Here is a 19535-nt window from a genome sequence, read left to right as displayed (position 1 = left end):
ATCCCTTGCACGTGCAGTTCACAATAGGGTTCACACTCCTGTGAGAATCTAATGCTGCTGCTGATCTGACGGGAGGTGGAGCACAGGTGGTAATGCTCACTGGCCTGCCACTCACCTCCTGCTGTGCAGCCTCGTTCCTAACAGGCCACAGATCTGTGCCAGTCTGTGGCCCAGGGGTTGGGGACCCCTGGCCAATAACCTCCCCCAAATCCATAGTTAAAACAGATGAGCCGGTTATTCAGAAGACCAGAGAGGAAACACGCCATGATGTATATTCTCTGTAAAAAGTTCTCCCTGCTGTCCTGCCACATCCAGCCCATTGCAAAATCCTGTCAATCCTGAGCCCCTTATCTCAGTGTCATTTCCTCCTTTGTCACTGTGACTGCCCTGGTTCAGCTTGCCCGCCACCCCCCACAGTCTTGTTCCTCCCCATTTCATTCTACAGTGACTCTTCCTGGATCTGTGGATCAAGGCTCTGCTTCACTCATGCACCTCCCATGGCTCCCCATTGTCTGCCATCCTCCTCATGCCAACATTAAAGTCTCTCATCATCTGACCCCAGCTGACCATCCTGCATCAGGGTTCTTGGTTGCCAACAATAGAAAGTGACCATGGCTAACTTAAGCCAGAAATAATCTACTAGGAGGACACCGGGGAGCTCATAGAATCGGTAGGAAGGCCAGGGAGGCTGACCAGCAAAGGGCAGAGATTAAAGTCATGCATGTCCAGATACTGTCCAGCCAGAATACCACTGCTGGTGCCTCTACCACTGGCCACTTTCCACCATTCAGCAGCCCCACAGCCTCCATGAATAATATCTAAATGTGCCCACACTCTCACATCAGTCTCCTCACCCCCCCATCCCAGGTGGGAGTAGCCAACCAACCAAGCATGGCCTCTTTCTGCAGCCCCATCACTGTGGTCCAGGTAGAGGGGAGTCTGGCTCTCTTTGCTTCCACAGGGAGAGACAGAGCCTTTGATTCCCAGACACACTGCCTGCGCCCCAGCTACAGCAACATTTCCTCCACACCCCACACCCACTTGGGGCTCTCCCATCACTCCAGCTCTGCTCTGTCTCTCTCTCCCCCAGGAATGCCTTGCCCTCACTTCTTTTTTTTTTTTTGAGACGGAGTCTCGCTCTGTCGCCCAGGCTGGAGTGCAGTGGCGGGATCTCGGCTCACTGCAAGCTCCGCCTCCCGGGTTCACGCCATTCTCCTGCCTCAGCCTCCCAAGTAGCTGGGACTACAGGCGCCCGCCACTACGCCCGGCTAATTTTTTGTATTTTTAGTAGAGACGGGGTTTCACCGTTTTAGCCGGGATGGTCTCGATCTCCTGACCTCGTGATCCGCCCGCCTCGGCCTCCCAAAGTGCTGGGATTACAGGCGTGAGCCACCGCGCCCGGCCGCCCTCACTTCTTATAGCCAGTTGGATCAACCTTCAAATGACCCAATCAAATACCACCTCTTCTAGGAGCCCTTCCCTGACTGCCTCCACTACTCCCAATCTGGATATGACACCATCTGTGCCTCTCTGGTGACAATGAGGGCTCTCTACCACATATTGAAGCTTGTCATGTTCCTGGGTGACCCTCTCCTATGAGACCATGAGTTCCTAGAAAGCAGGACCCATGGCTTCTCTTATTTCCAGGGCTGAGCACAGGGCCAGCATAGTGTATGCAAAGAAGTCTGGATGCACACGAATGAGGTCTGTAGAAGGAAGATTCGCCCTGTGCCATATGCTTATGTCCACCTCCTGGTCACATCAGAGGTCAACCCAAAATAGCATTGAAACTGGTGGAGTGTCTTCACCCTTTCCCAGTGTACCCAATTTCCTTGACTCATGCTTGTTTTAATATTCTGCTGACACCATCGTGAAATTCATTATTTCATTGTGAAACATGCAAGAGTCCTGCATGTTTATAGTGCAGTGGGCCCTGCAAATTATGTAGCCAGCCCTGGGTGGACAGCTTCTGATACAGTCACTCATACCTCCAAGTGGGGTTTCAGCATCTTGCCACTCCTTTCATGAAGAGAAGACAGGGAAAAGGCAGGGCTTCACCCAACTGGCTTCAGACTCCAGTATGCAAAGGAATTTGGAATGGGTTGACTTCTGGTCACCACAAAATCATAGCACATGGGTGACCACCCAAGACTAGGGCTGGACCTAAATGCAAGGCTCTTCAAGACCGAGCAATGTAAATTGCCTGCACTCACTAGGATCAAATTCATGACCCCACCAGCATCTCTCCTGGCTCCCTTAACAGCCTGTTCTAAGTCAATGAGTTATGTCACCCAAGATTTGTGTTGAAATCATGACAACAACAATACATCAGCCTATGTAGAGGAATGTTGCATTTGATAATGAATTCTTTATAGACATGTGTTTTTACCGAGGTATAATTTACATGCAATAAAATGCATAGATTTTACATGTACAATTTGATGAATTTTGATATATGTACATACTCATGTAACCACCACCCCAGTGAAGGCATGGAATATTCTAATACCCCCAAAAGTTTCTTCCTGTGCCTTTGAAAGTCACACCCTACCCCCATTGCTGCTCTCAGCAACCACTGTCTGATTTCTATCACTATAGGTTAATTATGGCTTTTCTACTACTGCATAAAATGAAAGCATTCAGTATATTTGTGTCTAGCTTTTTTCATTCATCAAAATTTCTATGAGATTCATACATGTTACATATATCCGTATACATCAGTTTATTCCTTTTTGTTTCTGAGTAATATTCCATTGCATGGATGTATCACAATTTGTTAATGCATCCTCTGGTTAATGGCAATTTGTGTTGTTCTCAGTTTTAGCTATCATGAATACATCTGTACAAGTCTTTTTGTAAACATATGCTTCTTTTCTCTTGGGTAAATAATACCTAGCTGTAAAATTGCTGAGTCATGGGTGTATTTGTAAGGGTTCTCCAGGATTATATGTAGATGTACAAGAGGAGCTGGCTCATGCAATTATGGAGGCTGAGATGTGCCATGATATGCCTCTGCAAGCTGGAGAACCAGAAAAGCAAATGGTGTAACTCCCAGTCCAAGGCTGAATTCCTGGGAAGGGGGAGTGGGTGGGGAGAGGTGCCCATGGGTACAAGTCCCAGATTTCAAAGGCTTAGAACTAGGAGCTTCAATACCCGAGGAAAGGAGAAGATGGATGTCCCTACTCAAGGAGAAAGAGAGAATTCACCCTTCCCCCATCTTTTTGTTCCATCCAGGCCCTCAGCCAACTACATGGTGCCCACCCACAATGAGGAAGGTGATCTTCTTTACCCAGTCCACTGACTCAAATGCTAATCTCTTCCAGAAACACCCTCACAGATGCACCCAGAAATAGTTTTATCAGCTATCTGGGCATCCCTGATCCCAGTCAAGTTGCCACAAAATATTGACCATCACAATGAGGTTGGTGTATATTTCTAAGAAAATGCTCAACTGTTTCCAAAAATAGTCATATCATTTTACTGTCATGCCAGCAAAGTATTCAGTTGCTGCACATCCTCTGCAACACTTGGTGTTGTTGGGCACATTAATTTTAACTGTTCCAGTGGGTGTTAATTTGCATTTCTCTGATGAGCAATGATGTTGCACACTTTTTCATATGCTTCAGGGCCATTCATATATCTTCCTTTGTGAAGTATCTGTTAGGACTTTTGCCCATTTTTTAATAAGATTGTTGGCCTTATTATTGAGTTATTGTTGTTTTCTATAGACTCTAAATATGGATTATTTGTCAGATATATGTAAATAAATATTCCTTCCCCACCTGTAGCTTGCCTTTTCATTTTCTCAGGAATGTCATTTGAAGAGCAGAGTCTTTGATTTTGATGGAGTCCAACATGTCCATATTTTTTTTATTTTATAGTTAGCACATTTTTGTCTTGTCTAAGTAGTCTCTACCTATCCCAAAGTTGTGAAGATATTTTTTCCCATGTTCCCTTCTAGAGGCATTATCATTTTAGCTTTTACATTCCATCTTCATTTTTGATCCATCTTCAAATGATCCATCTTCATTTTTGTGTGTGGTGTGAGGTAGGGGGTCAAGGTTTATTTTTTTCCCCTATGGATATCCAATTATTCCAGCATCTTTTGCTGAAAAGGCTATCACTGGTTATCTTGGTACTTTTACAAATCAATTAACTAGATAAGTATGAGTCTGTTTCTGGACCTTCTGTTCTGTTTGATGGATCGGTTTGTTGACCCATACACCAATGTTACATTGTTTTGATTCCCCTGACTTTACTTACTGATGACTTTTGAGTCCGGGTCTCTCTCCCACCTTTTGCTCTTCTTCTCTCCTTCTCACTAGCTCATCATTCTCCAGGGCTGCGGGGTAGGGGATTTGGGCTCTAGTCTTAGCTCTGCCTCTAAGTTACTGCAGTTACCACTTTTGCTTTCTTGGTCTCCTTTCCCTATCCATAAAATGGAGATAAGTTGAAACAAGAACGCTTCCCCCATAAAAGACTTGATTTTTAGGTTGATTTCCATGTTACTAGGAAGGAAAACAAGAGTAGAGGACAGCTTTCTGTAAAATGCTTTCCTGACATTCTAGAGCCCAAAATCAAAGCCAAAAGCAGGAGGGAAAAGCAGTAACCTGACCCCAGCCTGGTAAAATAACCTTTTTTTTCTCACTTATTCTTCATCATGCTCACTTTTGAAGACAGACCACTGCACATTAAGTCCAGCCCAGTCGATACACTGTCTAGGAGGCACAGAGTGTTAGCTGTTTCTCACTGTGCCTCTATCTGCCCTGTCATTCTGTCTCAGCTCTGACTCTCCCCAACATCTCCCCGCCTGCTCCACAATGGCCTAGTGGTTAAGTTCCTGAGTCAGCCTGCCTGTGTTCACATCTCAGCTCGGCTGTTTAACAAAACAGTGGGTTTGGGCAAGGTGCTTTTTGCCTTTGGGCTTTGGTTTCTTCAGTGCAATAAAGGAAATAAGAACAGTACCCACTTCGTGGGTTGTTGTGAGACATCATTAAGACAATGCATATAAAATGTTTAGCATAATATCAGCCATTACTGTAAATGTTCAAAAAATGTTAGCCACTGTGGTGGTTTTTTTGACACTGCTCCTTTGAAAAGATAGAGCCTAATTCCTCTACCCTCAAATGTGGGACAGACTTGGTGCCTCACTTCTAACAAATGGAGTGTGCAGGAAGTGATGGTGTGTGACCCCTGACACTAGGTCATAAGGGATATTGCCACAGGAGCCTGCAGAGAGACCTATGTGGGAAGGAACTGAGGCCTCCTGCCAATGACTGTCGCCAACTTGTGAGCTGTGTGAACAATCCATCTTGGAAAAGGATGCCCCAGTCCAAGCTGAACCTTGTGAGACAGCAGCCCTGGCTGACATCCTCACTACAACCTCATGAGACACCCTGAGCCAGACCACACAGCTCAGCCATGCCTGAGCTCTGAATTCCCAACCCACAGAAACTGTATGAGATAATAAATGTTCATTGCTGTTTTAAACCGCTACATTTTGGGGTAATTTTTATGCAGACCCATATAAATAATTCAGCCACCATTAGTAGTGGTAGTAGTGGTAACTGAATCCTATTATCCTTCAACCCCCAGTTCGTGTTCTACTGCCTCCAAAAAGCCTTTGTCAAGGAAAGAGAAGGTGGTAAGGAAATATCCAATTCCCCCTGTTTCTAAAGTAACCGCACCCCATGTTTTAGCTGGGCCACCTGGGTAAGAGGTTGTATTTTCCAGCCTCCCTTGCTTGTCTTTCTCTTTCATAGACACCCACACGTGCACACATAGCTTTGTTCCATCACCCTACTGTGTCCTCTAAGAAACATCTGCAATGAGCCCAAGATATTCTGGATGCTAACAGAAAGCTGATTTAAGAAACAGAAGATTTGGATCTAAATGGCTTGAGGGGAGTGGGGGAGAGGTGGGTGTGAGGACCCTGGGATTAGACTAGGGTTCAAATCTCAGGTCCTCAATCAAGCTGTGGGGACAAGAGCTAGCCTGTCCTGACCTCAATCCTTCACTTTAAAAGGAAGAAAATGGGGTTGCTGTGAAGAGGTAATGGGCTGGAAGAGGCCCTATGATAGAAGTAGTATGTGCAACTTCCAGAATGTATCCTTAACAGGAAAAGGTATAACTTTCTCCTTTCTACCAATTGCAATGCAGAGATGCTAGGGGTGCCGCCTTGGATTATAACATAATCTTGGGAATAGAGACCATGAACACAGAACAAAAAACTAGAGGGAGCTGGAGTTTCTAACACCACAGAGCACCAGTCCTGCACCACATACCTGCCATCTTTCACGTGAGAGAGAAATACATTTCTGTCTATCTTGCTTAAGCCACTGATATTTTGGGGTTTGTTACTCACAGCAAAGCCTGATCATAACTGATACAGGGAAGGATGGGAAAGAAACTGTTTATTAAGTTTCTTAAGCTTGTGTGTACAAAATGATGTCACATTCATGATTTCACTTAAATTCACATTACAACCCCAAGAGGCAGACATGATTATAGATTAAATAGAAATAGATGAGAAAACTAACACTCAGAGGCCGGGTGTGGTGGCTCATGCCTGTAATCCCAGCATTTTGAGAGGGAGAGCGAGGCGGGTGGATCACTTGAGGTCAGGAGCCTGTCCAACATGGTGAAACCCCATCTCTACTAAAAATACAAAAATTAGCCAGGCATGGTGGTGTCCACCTGTAAACCCAGATACTTGGGAGACTGAGGCATGAGAATTGCTTGAACCCAGAAGGTGGAGGTTGCAGTGAGCCAACATTGCACCACTGTACTCCAGGCTGGGAAGACAGAGAAAGACCCTGTCTCAAATTAAAAACAAAGCAAAATGCTCAGAGAGGTTGAGGTTGAGTGATTTATTCATGGTCTTATAGCTAACAAGAAATAGAGTTGGAATTCAAAACTAAAATTGAATAGATCAAAATACAAGCTCATTCTATGAGCCCCCTCTCATGTACTCAAGACCCTGGGCTAAGCCTTTTCTCATCTGCCACAGCCAGGCTGCTCCCTCACCACCCAAACCCCTCCACCCCACTTAGCACTTAACCTGATTGTCAATTGTTCTGCACCTTGTTTCCTCAAGGACCCAGAATGTCAGCTCCTTGAGGCCAGGACCCATTTCAGGAGGCTTAGTTTCCCAGGCTTTAGCCACTAAGCATTTAATAAACACTTGTTGAATGATTGGTAGACTTGAACACTTGTGCTGAAGACCAGAAAAGATGAGAAGAGGCCGGGCGCCGTGTCTCACTCCTGTAATCTCAGCACTTTGGCAGGCCAAGGCAGGCAGATCACCTGAGGTCAAGAGTTTATGACTAGGCTGGCCAACATAGCGAAACTCTGTCTCTACTAAAAATACAAATGTTACCCTGGTGTGGTGACGTGCGCCTAATCAGGAGGCTGAAGTGGGAGGATAGCTTGAGCCCAGGAGGCAGAGGCTGCAGTGAACCGAGCACTACACTCCAGCCTGGGTGGGAGTGAGCCCCCATCTCAAAAAAAAAAAAAAAAAAAAAAATAGAGAAGAAGGCTGGGGGCTGGGGCTGGGGCAAGCCTGTAACATACCTGCCCCAGGCACCCTGACAAAGCTTTCATCTCACTGGCCATGATGCTTTCTCTTTTTAATATATATTTTATTACATCAAGAAACAAAAGAGAAACACACAATTTATGTCGGCCTTTTATCAGCCAACATAAATGAGTACAGATTCCTAACTTCATTTCAGAGGTCTCCATGGCAATCAATATTGCCTGCTGACCAATTAAATCTAACAAGATGCCTTGGAGCCAGAGCGGGTCAGGCGAGGGTGAAAAACCAGGAGTCTAAGGACAGAGTTCTTTCAAAGGTGGTGGAAAGGAGACATACCCTGCCTGGGTCTCCAAGTTTTAAGTATAAATAGGAGGACTGCAATGGTGCTCAGGCTTCTAATGGAGGCTGAAACTGACATGTCTCAGCCAGAGACCAAGATCACCGCGGCAATCAAGGGTATCAGTCTGGCATTCCAGGACGGCTTCTACGTCATATGGGGCTTAGCAACCGGGGGTTGTGCAGGGAAAAGCAAGATCTACGACTAACATTGACCATCTCAAGTTCAGGCTAGGACCAACAGCCTCCACACTCTGCCCATTCAGTTGAACTATGGTGGTTGGGATAGGATTCCTCTGTGACTCAGTTTCCTCATGGTAAAATCACTATCAAACAAAAAAAAACAGGTATAATATTATTCAAAAAGCACATATTTGGTGCCGTGTGCTAGACCACGTAACTAGCCTTGAGAAAATTGCTTCACATCGCCATGCCTGAGTTTCTTTCACTGTGAAATGGGGATGATAACGCCCACTTGCAGGAGTATTTCAAGGGACAAAGGGATTACGGGCATAAACGCAGCTTCTGGCCGGGCTCAGTGGCTCATGCCTGTAATCCCAGCACTTCGGGAGGCCAAGGCGGGCGGATCTCCTGAGGTCAGTAGTTCAAGACCAGCCTGACCAACGTGGTGAAACCCCATCTCTACTAAAAATACAAAAATTAGCTGGGCATGGTGGTGGGTGCCTGTAATCCCAGCTACTTGGGAGGCTGAGGCAGGAGAATCACTTGAATCCGAGAGGCAGAGGTTGCAGTGAGCCGAGATTGTGCCACTACACTCCAGCCTGGGCAACAAGAGTGAAACTCCGTCTCCAAAAAAAAAATAATAACAATATAATAATAATAATAATAATAATAATAATAAAAGCAGTTTCAGTCTCTGGGCTTTTGGACTTGCCAGTTCTCACCATAAGCTCCCATTTTCTGCAGAAAGTTTCAGGGCCCTGTGTCCTTTATCACCAAAAAGACTGAATAATTAAGCACTGTACAAATCCAACAGCTTGTCTCTCCCCGTAGAAAGCAGATCTTCCGTTTAGTTGTAACATTTACCACCACACAAAGCTTCAAGGCTGGGAGGTCAGGCAGAGCATTTCAGGAGCTAGTAGAGGGCCAGGAGCATGCTTCAAGGAGCTTGCCACATCACAGGAGCTCATGTCCTGGGTACTGGGGAGGCCCTCACTCTGCAGCACCAGGTTCCAAGCATGCATCCAGCTGCCCTCCACGACCTGCCATCTGTACCCTGTGTTTTTTAAGAGATGATGACACCAACTGCACTAGGCATTCCTGAGGGACACCCAGTTTTACACAGCGTGGGGGTGATGTTTTCTACGTTCTTTCCATTTTCCTTCCAATGATATTCAACAGCTCACTGGCCTTTGGGGCCCACCAGCACATTGGCAGTGTACACAGCACCCTGTGATGAACAAGGCATGTGGTCATCTGTGACCTCATCCAAACCTCACCAAACACTCTGTGCAGGGACAATGAAACAGATTGTTCAGAGATTAAAATTAAGGCCCAGGAAAGATAAATGGCTTATCCAAAGCCAAACAGCTAGAAACCAACAGAATTGTCTTCCTCTTTTCTTCCCCCCTCAAATGGCTTTTGAATTTATTTGCTTGATCAATGATGGTCCTGGCAAAAATTAGTTAACCAATGCTGAGACATATGTAATGAAACAGTAATTTTAAAATTGTCTTCCTCTTTCACAGACACCCACACAAGCACACATAGCCTTGTCCTGTCACCCAGCTGTGTCCTCTAAGAAACATGTACAATGAGCCCAAGATGCTAACAGAACATTAATTTAAGAAACAGTCAGGAGATTTGGATCTAAATGGTTTGGGGGAGTGGGGAAAGGGAGGGGTGAGGACTAGGACCCTGGGGTTAGACGGGGGTTTGAATCTCAGCTCCTCAATCAAGCTGTGGGGACAAGAGCTTAGCCTGTCATGACTTCAATCCTTCATCTATAAAAGGGAGATACTGGGGTTACTGTGAAAATTAATTGAAACCACTTGTTAATGGCATACAGCAAGTGCCCGATAGATGTTATTCCTCTCCTCCACCCCCATTCCACACTGAAACAACTTGCCTCTGATCTGCGCCATCTCGTTAAGTCCCAGGAGCCAACTCAAGAGCACCTTCCTTCCCTGACCATCCCAGTCCATCTTGATCCCTTCCTCTCTAGAATCTTTACAGCATTCCTGGTCTTCAACACATGATTTAGGGGCTGTTTATTTGCCAAGTGTGTTTTGGACTAACTAAACTTGAGGGGTGATGCCTTTTCCTAGATATTTGCTCAATCAATGGCATGGGGCTGAGCATAGCAGGTGCCTGATAAACACAAGAGTCATCCTTCCCTCTTTCTTGTCCTTACTGTATTTTTTGAGTTTCCTGGAGTATGTCACTATTGATCTAATATTGAATCAAATCAAACCTAGAAGAGCTTAAAGGCAACCACAACCCTAAAGATTTTGTGTGTGTGTGTGCACATTTTCTAGCTTGTGGCAGAGAATGCCAGCTGTCCACCAAAATCCTTTTCGCTCCTCTAGAGTAATAATATTGTAGTTGGCACACAGCTACTTAGCTGTGGACTACATTGCCCAGACACCTTTGTACTTGAGTGTGACCACGTTCTTGCCAGTGGAATGTGAGAGAATTGCAAGTCCAACACCCTTTCTACATCACCCCAAAGGGTACCCATTTTTAATTACTTTAATCCCTTCACAGGGGCTGATGTGGGAGAATTGCTTGAGCCCTGGAGATCGAGGCTGCAGTGAGCTGTGATCACACCACTGCACTCCAGCCTGAGTAACAGAGTCTCAAAAAAAAAAAAAAAATCCTTCCACATAACCACTTTATAAAGAAGAACTCACATATAAAACCCAAATGAGCCTATAAAATAGGAAGCTACATGATGTGAAGCAAGCCACTTTGCCTTTCTGGGCCTCAGTTTGTCCACGTGGAGGTGAGACTCTTCCAACTCTAACATCAAATGAGTCTAAGCTGGACTTTCATTCTCTTTACCTCTCTCCTCTCACCTGCCCCCTACTAGCTGCTAGGCAGGCTGGGAAACAGCAGCCTACCTGGATTCCCTTCTAATACATCCAAGTCCCGGTTCTTTCTGACTTACAAAGAGCTTCCTGCCTCCCTTCATCATGTTTGCAATACAGTTCTGTTCTGTTAATTTCCTGGAAAAAAAATTTTTTTTCCTCAGAGATTCTGCTGCAGACCTACCTCCCCCTAGTATAAAAAACCCATAGGCCCATCCCAGGCGGCCTCCATCTCCGTCAGCTGCCACGGTGGCTGAAGCCACCACACCCGGCCCACACAGCGCCTCTGGCCTACCTTCAGCTGAGGACAAGCCAGCATGGGAAGCACGGAGGAGCTGCCCTTACAGGGGGTGCCTTGGTTGAGTGCAGGGCGCTTTCATCACAGCACCCAGCGTGGAGGTGCAGCTACCATGCATATGTCAGTACAGCCACATTCAGCATTAAAATCTTAAAATGCTTCCACACCAGGTAGTAAATAGCCACTGCCCCAAGGGTCCCCTCCAAAACCCCCCAGAACTCCAATCACCTTTCCCGGTAGAGGGACCTGCAGGGGGCAGCAGCAGCTCCAGCACATTCACTTTATGCCTAAGTCTGTGTTCATAACTATGTATTTTTTTCTTTTGTTCTTTTCCTTTTTTTTTCTTTTTTACATTTGCCAGTTTATTAAAAAGGATATTACAAAGGATACAGGATGAAGAGACACATAGGCTGGATGCAGTGGCTCACGCCTGCAATCCCAACACTTTGGGAGGACAAGATGGGCGGATTATGAGGTCAGGAGTTCAAGACCAGCCTGGTCAACATGATGAAACGCCATCTTTACTAAAAATACAAAAGTTACAGGCGCTCGCCCGTAATCCCAGCTACTCAGGAGGTTGAGCAGGACAATCTTTTGAACTTCAGAGGTAGAGGTTGCAGTGAGCCAAGATGGCGCCATTGCACTCCAGCCTGGGCGATAGAGTCAGACTCTGTCTCAAAAAATAAAAAAGAGGCCGGGCACTGTGGCTCACGCCTGTAATCCCAGCACTTTGGGAGGCTAAGGCAGGCGGATCACGGGGTCAGGTGTTCAAGACCAGCCTGGGCAACACGGTGAAACCCCGTCTCTACTAAAATACAAAAAATTAGCCGGGCGTGGTGGCGGGCGCCTGTAGTCCCAGCTACTCAGGAAGCTGAAGCAGGAGAATCGCTTGAAGCTGGGAGGCAGAGGTTGCAGTGAGCCGAGATCGTGCCACTGCATTCCAGCCTGGGTGACAGAGCAAGACTCCATCTCCAAAAAAATAAAATAAAATAAAATAAAAATATAAAAAAGACACACGTAGGGCAAGCTATGGGGACACAGAGCTGCCTGTGCCCTCCCTGGAGCACCACCTTCAGGAACCTCCATGTGGAATGCCACATGCTGTCCAGAAGCTCTCCAAACCCAGGTCTTGTGGGTTTTTATGGAAGCTTCATGACATCTCCATTCCTTCCCTCAGGGCACAGAGCAGGACCCTCGGAGGAGAGAGTCTTATGACCCGTGTAACAGGAGAAACAGGGGAAGATTAGCATCCCGGCTTGGGGTTGCCGAAGGGAGGGCAGGAGAAGGTCGGAGGGATTCTGCTTCCTGAGTCCTGCTCCTGAGGCCTGATGCCCACAATGTTAAGCCTATAACAAGTGCTTTGGGGGCGGCAAGCCAGGAACCGTGGACAAAAACCAATACATGTATACATCATAACACCACAGGTCACCCCTTGGTTTTTTAACGTGGGCCCTTTACATCAAAAGAACATACATGATCATTAGTAATTAGCCTAGTCTGTCATATTGTATAAATGTCTCCCAGGCTGAAGCCACTCAGGTATACAGGCTTCCTTTCAATCCCATCCAAGTTCCAAAAGCAGGAGTGGTCTCAGCAAACATATAGATAGCTTCACCCTTTCAGGCATGTGAGATCATTGAGACAGTGGCATCTCTTGCTCTGAGACTATTTATTTATTTATTTATTTATTTATTTTTAGACAGAGCCTCACTCTGTTGCCCAGGCTTCAATGCAGTGGCACGATCTCAACTCACTGCAAACCTCCACCTCCCAGAGTTCAAGTGATTCTCCTGCCTCAGCCACCCAAGTAGCTGAGATTACAGGTGTGCACCACCACACCCAGCTAATTTTTGTATTTTCAGTAGAGACAGGGTTTCGCCATGTTGGTCAGGCTGGTCTAGAACTCCTGGCCTCAAGAGATCCACCTGCCTCGGCCTCCCAAAGCGCTGGAATTACAGGTGTGAGCCACCATGCCCAGGATGTATTCTTTTTCTTAAAGAAAGTCCCTAAGCTGCCTGCGCCTGAAGCCCCACAAACCCTGGATGCCCCTGTCCCTTGGTGAGTTTTGGCCATGGGAATGTGGATAACAGGTGGGTTCATACACCCTGGGGGTGGAACATCCACCCATGCTCTCACCATCCACTCAGTGGGAATCTGCTTGTTACGGGTTGAATTGTGTCCTCCAAAATGATATGTTGAACACCTTAACCCCAGTACCCCAGAATGTGATCTTATTTAGAAGTAGGGCCTTTGTACATGCCATTAGTTAAGTTAAGATAAGGTCATGCTGGAGCAGGGTGGGTCCTTAATCCAGTATGACTGGTGTCCTTGTAAGAGGAGACTTGAAAGACACAGATCCCTAGCAGAAGATGGCCATGTGAGGACAGAGGCCAAGATGGAAGTGCTGTGGCCTCAAGCCAAGGAGCAGTGCAGATGACCAGCAAATCCCAGAAGCTATGAGAATGAATGCAACCGGTTCTTCCCTAGATCCTTCCAAGACAGCATGGCCCTGCCCACACCTCCATCTCTGGCTTCCAGCCTTCAGAACTGTGAGAGAATACATTTCTGTTGTTTTAACCCATCCCAGCTAGTGGTACTTAGTTACAACAGCCCCAGGAAATTAATGCACTGCTATAGGAAGCTGCTACCTTGATGATATTTGCTGAGACCTCATCTCTCCAGCTCCCGGAGAAACAGTGCCAGCACCGATGACAAAGCAGGCAGAACAAAAGAAAGATGACAGGCAGAACTAGGGCAGTGGGTTTTGGGAAGCAACAGGGGCTCGACAAGCTGCTTAGGCCGCCAGCTCACAGCGTCAGATGCAAACGGTCAGCCAGCGTGTTTGACAGCAACAGGAGAGGCAGGCCCTAAAAATAGCCCATTGTGCTCCAGTGAGCTCAGTGGGGCACTGAGCTCTCACTCCAGACCAGGCTCCGCTCTGAAGGGTTCTGGGTCAAGCCCCCCAAGAACAAGCTTCTCCCCACGGCAATGGGAGCCACCTTTGTCCTAGAGGTTGAGTCATCTAAGCGATGAGAGCACAGTGACCTGGAGCCCAGGTGGAATTCCATGCCTCAGCTCATTCCGAGCCCAGGAGCCTGGGAAGCTTTCCGACAGAGCAGCAGGGCCATCAAGTCAGCATAGACGGGGCACCATGTGACTGACCTTTCTGCTCACAACGCTCCCCGCTGTAGGGCTAAACGTAATTGAGGTCTGTGAACAAAGGAAGATGCCAGCTACATGAGACAGGAAAGGACTTTAGCAAGTAACACCCAGAGTGCAGGGGCAAGGAAGGGCTTCTCACCTCTCACCAGAAGGGCTGGCCCTCAGCCCAGCTGTCTTCATGGTGAAAATGAAAGAGATCAACTCAATTATCTCCAAGGCCTTTTCTGCCTCAATTTTCTCTAACTCCAGGGACCCCACACCCTGCCGGGGGCCTTGCACTCTCATGCTGCCTCCTGATTTCCCAGCCCTTCTTCATGCATGCGCTCCAGACCTCTCATCCCTGACCGGGTCCTTAGAACTTGCTATTGCCCCTGCCTACCCCACCCACCCCCCGTCCAAGGCTGTGCTCTACTGAGCAGCAGCCAGAAATCTGGAAAACTAATCAGGTCATAATGAGGGTGCGGGTAACCCTCTCTTTAGGCTTTGCAATTAAAAAGGAGGAAGGCTGCTTGAGAATGGGGGCCATGGCATTTACTCAGCACCAGCTACAGGTTTGACACATTGCAGGGCTCAGGAAGTACTTGTTGAATGAATCAACAACGGTCTCAGTCACTACAACAGGATGCGCAAGGTGGGATGGAAGGATCAGAGGACTTCTTAGGATACTTTGATACAAACTTTTAAACACAGGGTCTGCTCCATCCCCAGACCTTGACATGAGCGTTGCGCCTGTTAATTCTCAGGCCTCACTCTCTGATATCCCAAGGGGTCCCATTGCCTCAACAGCAGGATGCTGACCCAGTGCCCAAAATCAACCCCAAACAAGCGATGAGACCTGCATGGTTGCATGCATTGCATATTTTCTCAACTGTCTGGGACTAAATATAAAACCGTAAAAAAATGAAAGGAGGTGGAGAAGGGCAGAAAGGACATATCAGGGGACTTACTGAAAGAAAGAATCAAAGGGGAGCCGGCCAGCAGCTTATGTTTGGCAATAAGCAGGATAATCACAAAGGAAATTAAAAGTGAGTTTCCTTGAAGGAGGAGAAGGAGGGAAAAAAACTATAATTGGTTCCTTCTGCTCCAATGTCCCGGCACCTGCCCTCCATCTGCACCCAGAGAAGTTGTCAGAGGTCAAGGGACTGATCCACCAAAACTCTTCCAGGCAGTCTGGCAATGCAAACACACACACATGCGATGCGCACACACAGACACATGCACACACACACGCATATGCACACACACACGTCCACACGCACACACACACGCACACACACACATCCACATGCACACACACACACGTACATACAGACACGCGCGCGCGCACACACGGCTCATCCATGTGTGATTTAAAATATACAACGCTTCAATATGTATAGGCCAGAGCTGGGACCCAACCTCCCATCCTTCAGTCATACTGAACCTTCAGACACATGGAAGGAAAATTCACAGGCAAGGTGTGGTGTGTAGTGATCAGTTGTGAAGTGTGGAGCAAATAATTCGCTACTGACGATAAGATGTCAAAGTCTGGGAGTGGCTTGTTGAATTGTAGAAATCAGAATGGATTCAAGTTAGACCTGTAATTATGTCATCTTAATCCCATGTGCTCCCCCCTCTTTCTCACAGGAAAGGCAGGGGTGGGGTTAGCAGGCAGGACACAGAGAATTGCCCGTTACCCACAAGAGTAAGCAGCCCTCCTTGATGGCCTCAGCCTCAGGTTTGCAGTACAAACATGTCGATTGTCTCTGGTCTAGAATGTGGACTCCAGAAGGCAGAAAAAATGTAGAGACACTTCTCTGAGATGGGATCTGCCCCCAGCAACCAGCAACATTTATTCAAGCTGCACCTGGGGCCTCATGCTGATGGGGTCAGATGGTCCAAATGTGAGAGAGAGAAAGTCTGAGTCAGAGGAAGACAAAGACAGAGAGACAGAAACAGAAATGCAGAGACAGAGTCACAGAGAGAGGCTGCCTGGGTTCACTTGGCTCTGGGCCTTGTGAAATCCTTGTGTGCTGTAACCCACCCCTTTATTTTTCCAATAAACTCCCCTTTTTTGCTGAAGCCAGTTTGAGTAGAATCCTGTTACATATAGGTGAAAAGGCCTTGGTCAAGGTCCATTTCTCGGTTAACCATCTGCAGGGGAAAGGACAAGAGGGCTTGGGGTCCTCCTAGTAAGGCCATGAGGAGGTAGGGAGAGGGCATGGGGGCAGCAGGGTTGCTGCGGTGGCCCTCCAACTATGCTTATTGGAGCCATAAGCATTCTCTGGAGAGGACTCCAGGGGCCAATCTGCTTTCTATTCTGAGTTTGGTTGGAACAAAGGTGCTCATGGCTTTACTTCTTTTGAAACCCAGCAGGCAACAGCACAAGGCACAGGCAGGAAGTAGAGATCTGATGGTTTCTGGTTATTCACACTCTCTCATTTATTCTACTGTAAGAAACAGGGACATTCCAATTGCATATTATTTCAAGCTGAGTAAGGGGACCAGGACGAGACACCCAAACTAAAGGTCAATAAGAAGGCTGCTGTGTTGCACAACTCCTGTGGTGCCATTTGGTGCTACAGTCTGTGTGGAAGGTGCCCCAGAGCTCCACAGTGCTGGGGTGCAGCCCAGGGGGCTGATTCTGCCTTGTTTCCTCACCAGGATGCCTGCTGAGGACCCTTCTGTAGCCCCTGCTCCAATGAGACTAGGACCCCTTTCCCCTGGGGAATGGGATAGGGGAGAAGCAAGTGCTGGCTCTTTCGTGCCCCACTGGAGGGAATATGCCATAGTAGACCCTTGCCAATAAGGGGAAGAAATTAGGAGACTTTGCATGTGGAATCCCAGGGTGCAACAGAAGACAGCATCATTGACATTGGAAATCATGCCTGTAATCCTAGAACTTTTGGAGGCCAAGGCCAGAGGGTCACTTGAGGCCAGGAGATCAAGATCAGCCTACGTACCATAACGAGACCCAGTCTCTACTAAAAATAAAAAAAAAATCAGCCAGGCATGGTGGTACACACTTGTAGTCCCAGATGCTTGGGAGGCTGAGGCAGGAGGATTGTTTAAGCCCAGGAGTTTGCCTGGGCAACAGAGCAAGACTCTGTCTCAAAAAAAGAAGAAAAAAGGAAAGAAGGAAAGAAGGAAGGAAGGAAGGAAGGAAGGAAAGGGAAGGGAAGGGAAAATATAAATAAATAAATATTTTCAACATTGATGAGAAAAATATTTCTTAAACAAGACATCTAAATACATTATTTAAAAAGATTGAGAATTATGTTAAAGTTAAGAACTTTTATTTATCAAAATACGCTTTGAAAAATAAAAAATACAAGTTACAGACTGGAGAAATCTATTTGTGATACATAAAAATGCCAAAAGATTAGAATGAGCAACACAGAAATAACTCACAACTTGTTAGGAAAAGCACAAACAATGCAAGAGAAAAAAATGGACAAAGACATTAAAAAGTAAGTTGCAGAAGAAAAAACATACAAAGCCAATAAACATATGAAAAGATGTTTAACATCCCTAGGAATCAGAGAAATGCAAGTCAAGGCCACTAAGAGATGCCATTCTACATGCATTTGGCAGAATTTCAAGCAGTTGAAGCCAAGTGTTGGTGACGATGTGGATTCATGGTGTCTCTTTCACAGTGCAGGTGGGAGTGTCAATTGGTACAACCACTTTGTTTAAACCGTGTGACTTTATCTCCTACAGCTGAACATTTAGATACCTAAAACTCAACAATGAACACATGTTCAGCAGTAGACATTACCAGAATAATCACAGCAGCACAGTTCACAATAGCGAAACCCTGGAAACACCAATTATTGTTCATCAGCAGGAGAATAAATAAACTGGTGTGTTCTCACTATGTACGACAGTCAAAACACATTGATTGGAGTTTCTGTTTGAGAAGATGAAATAAGTTCTGAAATGGATGGTGGTGATGGTAGCACAAGAATGTGAATGTACTTAATGACACATAATTATACACTTAAAAATGGTCAGAATGGCAAATTTTATGTTATGCATATTTTACTACAATAAAAAGTTAATTATAGTAAACTTGACAATGTGGATATATCTTTGATAATATTAAGAAAAAAGAAATTTCCAAAGATGACATAGAGCATATCTTCTTAATAAAGTTTAAAAAACTAAAATTGAAAAAACGCTTTTTGTGGCTGGATCCAGTGGCTCACACTTGTAATCCCAGCACGTTGGGAGGCCGAGGCAGGTGGATCACCTGAGGTCAGGAGTTCGAGACCAGCCTGCCCAATATGGTGAAACCCCATCTCTACTAAAAATACAAAAATTACCTGGGTGTGGTGGTGCGTGCCTTTAATCCCAGCTACTCGGGAGGCTGAGACAGGAGAATCACTTGAACCTGGGAGGCGGAGGTTGCAGTGAGCTAAGATCACACCACTGCACTCCAGCCTGGGTGACAGAACAACTCTGCCTCGGGGAAAAAAAAAAAAAAAAGCTTTTTGAGAAAATATATCATAGAATTCAGGATGATAGTTACGCAAATTGAGAAAGTCATCTTATAGTTTAATATGTGCTATTATGAAGGGACTGGCTTTTGTTAGATGCCAGCTTCACAGGTATTTATCACATTAAAAGAAGAAATATGAAAGGGAACAAAAATGGATAGAAGAAAGAAGGGAAGGGAGGAGAGAGAAGGGGGTCCATTTGTAGGTCAAATATGAGATTATGCCATGAAGTAAGGATTTTGATTAATTGCACTTTGGTCACCTGGGACTCTTTTTAAAAAATGCTAAAATGGACTATTGTTTAGCAATACATACACAAGTGAAACATGTTTCTAAAAAGAAAAGGTATGGCTAACACAACAGACAGGACAGTGGCTGCACTGGGGTGAGACGGGTAATGCATTTGAGGCTTCCAACATCCTGGCTCTCAATTTCTTAAACTCAGCCATGGATACATGCTTGTCCATTTTATTATTATTTGTCATGCACACACATACTTTTCATGCACTCTTTTGTATGTATGATTTATTTGACAGAGAGTAAAAAAGAAGAAAGAAAATTTAATTAATTAGAATACAAAGAAACAAAAGAGAATTTTTAATGTTCTCTGAAAACACTAACAATCAAATCCCTGGCAAGTTTGATCAAAAAAGAAATAGAAAAGGCCCATATGG

At 45.9% G+C, this 19535-nt stretch overlaps 1 annotated feature.

Moving 5' to 3' along the window:
- Positions 14128-14629: an enhancer, noted in NCBI's record as "H3K4me1 hESC enhancer chr15:69791851-69792352 (GRCh37/hg19 assembly coordinates)". NCBI's record gives its function as "activates a minimal SCP1, AML or CMV promoter by ChIP-STARR-seq in primed H9 embryonic stem cells {active_cell/tissue: H9 hESC(primed)}" and the evidence as "EXISTENCE:reporter gene assay evidence [ECO:0000049][PMID:30033119]".

The sequence above is a fragment of the Homo sapiens genome, chromosome 15 (assembly GCF_000001405.40).
Source record: "Homo sapiens chromosome 15, GRCh38.p14 Primary Assembly".
NCBI lineage: Eukaryota > Metazoa > Chordata > Mammalia > Primates > Hominidae > Homo > Homo sapiens.
Note: the sequence above shows the minus strand (reverse complement) of the source record. Positions and strands in the feature narration are given on the sequence as shown.